Genomic DNA, 7,127 nt, shown 5'->3' on the forward strand with positions numbered 1-7,127 from the left:
TCTTCTTGCTGGCCCCTGAGGTCACACCAGCCCTCAGAAGAAACTGAGAAACTCCTAGTAATTTTCGCTAAAGAAGATGGTTCAAGGGTTGTGTGTGTTTCCTCTGCCTGCTGTAATAAATTACTACAAACTAAGTGGCTTAAAGCAACACACGTCTATTCTTTGACAATCCAAACCCCAAAATGGGTCTCACTGGGTGACTAGCATGGTGCCAGCGTGGCTGTGTGCCTTCTGGAGGCTCTGAGGGGAATCCGTTTCCCTGTCTTTTCCAGCTTCTAGAGGCCCCTGCACTCCTCAGCCCACGGCCCCTTCCTCCACCTTCAAAGTTAGTAGCACAGCATCTTGCAGTCTTTCTCACACCTCTGTTCCCTGCTTATAAGGACTCTTGTGATTACACTGGGCCCTGCCAGGTCATCTGGGATAACCTCGTCACGTCAAGAGCGATCTAACTCGATCCCATCGGCAAAGCCCCTTCTGCTGTGTAAGAGGACACATGCGCAGGTCCTGCGACGTGGACGTCTCTGGAGCCGTTATTCTGTTGACCACAAAAGTCATTCCACTCATTCCCCTGCTGCCTGGTCCTCCACCCAGACTGGACCAGTGAAAATTTACTTTGTCTTGTAGAACGGCCTTACGGTGGATTAGGATGGAGTAGAAATTCTCCACATTCACACAAGCACACACAAACACAAACACAAACACGGAGGCTTCTCACCTCCTCTAGATTGCCAGCAGTGCATGGCACACACACAAATTCATTCTTTCATTCAGCAACTATTTATGAAGCACCTACTATGTGCTTGACACTGCACTGGGGCTGCCATGGAGATGAAGACAGGGTCACACTCAGGGAGCTTACAGCCCAGTGCAGGACAGAAACATCAAACCAAATAAATACGTCCAGATCTGTGAAAGAAATGAGAAGAAACAAACAAAAAACTTCACAAATGAGTACTAATTTATTCATCAATCTACTCAGCCAATACTTATTAAAGGCCTACTATGTCCCAGCCATGTGGCGGTACTAGTGAATGGGGCAGAGCCAGCCCGCGTCCTCGTCCTCATGGAGTGTACACGCTAATGTGCAAAACAACAATTAAACATGTGACAGCAGTGGAGATCGGCTAGGAAGAGGGAGCACCCAGAATGGGGGTGTTGACAAAGGGAAGCAGTGAGTTGCGTATCTGTTATCCCTAGCTGAGTAACAAGCCACCCCCCAGCCACCATGGCATTTCTCACGAGTGTATAGGTCAACTGGAAGGTTCTGCTGATCAAGGCTGGTTGGCACTGATCAAGGCTGGGCTTGAACTTGTGTCTGCAGTCAGCTGGAGGATCAGTTGGGGTTGGCAAGTCTAAAACGGCATGGCTTATATGCATAGTGGTGGCTGGCTGTCAGCCCATTGGCTGGGCCCTGTGCCTCTCATCTTCCAGCAGGCTAGCTGGGTTTTGCTTACCCAGCAGAGGTGGAGCCCAAGAGATAACAGCAGAAATGTGTACGGCATCTCCTGGCCCAGGGTTGCAACTGGGACAGCCTCTCTTCCACCACATGACATTGTCCAAAGCAAGTCACAAGGCCAGCCCAGGTCCCAGGAGGGCAGGATGGACCCCACCTGTCGATGAGTGCAACAGCATAGTCACACTACCAACAGTAAGGTCAGAGGGAGTGGTGGGGCACGTGGCTGTTTAAAAACTCTACCACTAGGAAGATGACAGCAGAAAGCTGCCCAGGTATTTTTTTTTTTCTCTCTCTCTCTGCACCTGCACCACTCACATTCCACATCTGACCATTGGGAAATTCTTCCTCTGACACCTCCCTGCCTCTGCCTCCTTCTTCATCCTGCTCTGATTTCAGCCTAGGACACCTTTGCTGGGTAAATCTGCCACCGTGGAGCTGAGAAAAGACCCACGAGGCCCCCGGCAGGCCATCCCCAGCACTGAAGGTTCCTGGCGCCTGATGCCAGCACGCTGGACCTCAAGGGGGCCACAGGACTTCTCAGCTCAGCTCTTGATTTTTCAACCACCAAGTCATAAAAGCTTCCACGGAAATGGCCAGGAAAGCCCCTGTAGCCCTTTTGTAGTGCTGGTTTCTGGGTTGGCCTGACCAGCAAGGATCTTTCCAGATCTGCAGTAAAATCTGACCTTCGATTCAACCCGGCTTAATGAGTACGTACGGCTCACAAAGGCCCGGCACAGTCCCCAGAGCTGCTTTGGGGTGAGGCCTCCAGCCACGGGGCCAGCCCTTCCCTGTGATCTCAGTGCCCCCTCCCAGTCCCCACAGAGCCAGCAGTGGCAGCTGCGGGGCTGCAGTTTGGGAAACGAACTGAGGCAAGAGGAGGAAACACTGAGAGCTGGAGCAAACCCAGCTGCTGGGAAGTCCCCGCAGGGCCAGCCAGACCTCCAGAAGGCCTGGAGGGTCCCAGCCTCTTTGCTTGCACAATGTAATGAGGCCGTTACCAGGGTGGACCTAGCATCAGACTGCCTGAGTTCAAAGTCCTGCCCTGCCGCTCACCAGCTTGTGATCTGAACACGAGGCTCACCCTCTCTGAATGCATATTAGCCATCCTCAAGGTGGGGTTAAGAGCATCCACCGCCCAGGCTCACTGTATGGACGAAAGAAGAGCCACGAGGAAAGCTCAATAAATATTAGCTCTAATTGTTATTGCAGGCTTGGAGCACACCTCACTAATTTGGAAGGCCCAGCGCAGAGGAACCACGCCCAGCCCAGCAATGAGAAAGCTTGTGTTCTAGTTCCAGTTCTGGTACTGAGACACTCTGTAGACACACCCTGGAAAAAAGGACTCATCCCCCCGTATCAAGAAGGAGAGAGGCCTGGGGGGTGGCGCTTAGTCTCATGCAAACAGCACCCCCAATCGCCCACCAAGGGCCAGGCCCTGGGCTGGACCCATCGTCTGCATCATCACCGCAACCCTCCCCCATTTCACAGGAGATTAGGAGATGGGGCCCAGCCAGGAGTCACCCCCGGCCTTGACCCCAGCCCCAAGCTCTCCATGTTCGTAGTTGTGTCGCCAGGCTCTGAGCACTTAGGCTACAAACGGAGCACAGACTCTGAGGGCTGGGGTCGCTGCTGCTCCTGCAAACAGCCCATGCTCCCAGTCTAGAAAAATCCTCCAGAAGATGACAGTTCCAGTTGATGGGACTGACAAGCCCCCCACAGGAAGGCAGTCTCCAGCTGACCACTGTTCCGTGAGGCTGTCTGAGCAGGCTTCGCTATGCACGCATAATAGCGACAGCGCAAACAGCAGCAGCAGCAGCAGCCTCAGCTGGCTCGGCGGGGCTTGGCTCAGCGTGTGCGGGGTGCTGAGCTAAGTCTTCCCAAACGGCGTGTGCGGGGTGCTGCGCTGTCTTCCAGATCCGCTTGTGCAGGGCGCTGTGCTGTCTTCTGGTTCGGCGTGTGCGGGGCGCTGTGCTAAGTCTTCCGGCTGGGCGTGTGCGGGGCGCTGTGCTAAGTCTTCCGGCTGGGCGTGTGCGGGGCGCTGTGCTAAGTCTTCCGGCTGGGCGTGTGCGGGGCGCTGTGCTGTCTTCCGGTTCGGCGTGTGCGGGGCGCTGTGCTAAGTCTTCCGGCTGGGCGTGTGCGGGGTGCTGTGCTAAGTCTTCCGGCTGGGCGTGTGCGGGGCGCTGTGCTGTCTTCCGGTTCGGCGTGTGCGGGGCGTTATGCTAAGTCTTCCGGCTGGGCGTGTGCGGGGCGCTGTGCTGTCTTCCGGTTCGGCGTGTGCGGGGCGCTGTGCTAAGTCTTCCGGCTGCATTCGCACTCTTTCCCTCCGACTCAACCATGGCAGTGAGGCACTGTTTTGTTTTGCTTTGCTTCTCAATTTTCCTGTGGTAAAATACACCTAATATTCACCATCTTAACCGTTTTTAAGTGTACAGTTCAGTGGCATTAAGTACCTTCATAATATTATACAACCATCACCATCTCCAGAACCCTTTCATTTTCCCAAACTGAAACTCTGTCCCTGTTAAACACTAACTCCCCACTTCCCTGCTCCCCCACACCTAGTGACCACCCTTCTGCTTTCTGTCTCTATGAAATGGACTGCTCTAGAGAGCTCCTATATGTGGAATCATACAGTATTTGTACTTTGTGACTGGCTTATGTCACTTAGAGTAATGTCCTCAAGGTTCATCCATGCGGGAGCCTGTGTCAGAATTCCCTTCCTTTTTAAGGCTGTATAATATTCCATTGTGTGGATGCACCACGTTTTGCATATCCATTCATCTATTGATGGGCACCTGGGTTGCTCCCACATTTCTGCTGTTGTGAATAGCGCTGCTATGAACATAGGTGTCTCTTCTAGACCCTGCTTTCAATTCCTTTGGGTTTGTATCAAGAATTGCTGGAATTGCTGGATCAAGTGATGACTCTATTTTCAGTTCTTTGAGGAGCTGCTATACCGTTTTGCACAGCAGCTGTGCCATGCCCACCATCAGTGCAAAAGGGTTCCAGTTTCTCCACATCCAGCAAGGTATTGTTTTTATGCCCCATCTTACTGAAGGGGAAACTGAGGCCAAGAGAGGCTAGGTCACTTGCTCCAGGTCCTCCAGTTAGGAAGCAACACAGTCAGGACTGAAACCCAGACCCAACCAAGCTCTGAGCCCTCACACTGCTCCCGTGCCCTTGCAAGGACGCAATTCACTCGGCCCCTCATTCGGAGCTGGAGCTGCAGGTTTAGAGTCACAGTTGTGCTGTAAGGCAGGGGTGGTGCAGTGTCAGGAGCACACATCAGAAGCTGCCTGGGCACCCATCCAGCTCCCCCCGACAGGAGCCACTCTGATCCTCAATTTCCTCAAATATACCACAGGAATGGGAGACATTTGGGATTTTCATGATGATAATAAATGTAAAATTTTAAAAATCACACTTGGTACATAGTAAATGCCCAATCAATTATTATTTAGTCTGGTCCATGCTCCTTACAGAGAGATAGTGTGTGGAAATTCCTGGAAGCAAAACAGCATGACATCTTCAGGGATGTTCAAGCAGCAGGGAGCAGGGGATGCGGGGAGGGGCAGGCCCAGGCTGCAGGGGCAGACGGATGGCCAGACCTCCAGCAACCTCAGGCCATGCGATGAATGTTATCTCAGGGCCACCAGAGGGTTTGTGCAGGGGCATGATGGGGGCACATTTCCATTTTAGAAAGCCCATCTGGAAAATCCAGAAAGAAAGAGGCCAGAGAGGAGACTGTGGAGTAATCAGGAGAGAGACGATTGGGACCAGAACCAGGCTGGCTGCGCTGGCTTGGAGGTGGATGGCTACAGCTTGGGCATATCTGAGATGCAAGGGTCCAGGAGCCATTGCTTCACTGTGAGGGGTGAGGGAAAGGAGGCAAGGATAACTCTGTGGTCCTCGAGGATGCCTGAGGAATCATTCACTGAGCCAGGGGACTAGGCCAAGGAAAACTGTCATGCCCATTTCTGGGTCCACTTTGGCCCACTGGTGCCATAAGCCTTGGTGCCAAGGCATGGCCACCATGTTCCAGGTGTGGTATGAGCCATGAGGACTCCAGCAGCACCATGTCCTCCCTTGTTCCCCACACCATACCTCCATGAATGCAGCCCACGTGAGGGGTTAAGAGGGAGCTGGGCCCATTTCCTCAGCCAGCTTGTCTCCTCTCAGTGGCCTGTAAATGGTCCTCGAAAGAGGAAGACGGCCGGCCAAGGTTTCTGCAGTGAAGGTCTCTTTCCTTCCTAAAGAGACAACCCGGGGCTTGAACGCCGGCTGCACTAGCACTGCTAAATGATCTTGGGCAAGTTCCTGATCTCCTCTGCTGTTTCCTCGTCTTTAAAATAAAGACAATCAAAGGAATTTAGACATGAAAAGTCCTTTGTATCCAGGATGCAGTAGAGGCTCTATCCACTGTAGCTGCATTGTTGCTCTGATGGCCGTTGGTACTGGTGGTGGTGGTGGTGATGGTTAGTGTGATGACTGTCGATGAAAAAAGTCAAAGTCTGAAAAATATTTAAGGAGATTTATTCTGAGCCAAGTATGAGTGACCAAGGCCTGTGACACAGCCCCAGGAGGTCCTGAGAACATGTGCCCAAGGTGGTTGGGTTACAGCTTGATTTTGTACATTTGAGGGGGACAGAAGGTACAGGCAGACATCTATCAATACATGTAAGGCGTACATTGGATTGGTCTGGAAAGGTGGGACAACTCGAAGTGGTAGGGAGGCTTCCAGGACATAGGTGCATTCAAAGATTTTCTGATTGGCAATTGGTTGAAAGATTTCAGTTACTATCTAGAGACCTGGAATCAACAGAAAGGAGTGTCTGGGTTAAGATAAGGGGTTGTGGGGACCAAGGCTCTTACTCTGCAGATGAAGCTCCAGGTAGCAGGCTTCAGAGAGAGTAGTTGGTAAATGTCCCCTATCAGATCTAAAAAGGTGCCAGACCTCTAGTCAATTCTCTCTGGAATCAGTGAAAAGACCTAGAAAGGGAAGAAGATTCTCTGCAGAATGTAGACTGTCTCCATCTCCATCTCCATCTCCATCTCCATCTCTTATGTCTTCTCCACAAGAGACAGCTTTTCAGGGCCACTTCAAAATATGTCAAAGAAATCTATTTTGGGGGAAAATACTTTGATTTCTTTCAGGGCCTGCTATCTGTCATGTGATGCTATGCTAGAGTCAGGTTGGAATTTGGTATCTTATCGCTACAAAGAGCCTGTTTTGTCAGTCTCAAGGTCTCTCTGGTTTAATGTCAATGCTGGTCAGCTGTGCCTGCACTCCAAAGGGTTTCATGAGGCATGTCTGACCCCCCTGCCCATCATGGCCTAAACTAATTTTTTGGGTTGACTTTGGAAAGTCCTCGGCCAAGAGGAGGATCCATTCAGTCAGTGGGAGGCATAGAATCTTATTTTAGTTACACATGATGGTGGTGTTTTTGGTGGTGGTGGCCCTGGCAGTACCGGCGGTGTTGGTGGTGGTGGTGGTACTTGTGATGTTACTGTTTGTGGTATTGTTGTTTGTATTGCTGCTGGTGGCCCTGGCAGTACTGGTGTTGGTGTTGGTGGTGGCCCTGGCAGTACTGGTGGTGTTGATGCTGGTGGCCCTTGCAGTACCAGCAGTGTTGGTGTCGGTAGTGGTATTTGTGATGTTAGCGTCTGTGGT

The sequence above is a fragment of the Homo sapiens genome, chromosome 20 (assembly GCF_000001405.40).
Source record: "Homo sapiens chromosome 20, GRCh38.p14 Primary Assembly".
NCBI lineage: Eukaryota > Metazoa > Chordata > Mammalia > Primates > Hominidae > Homo > Homo sapiens.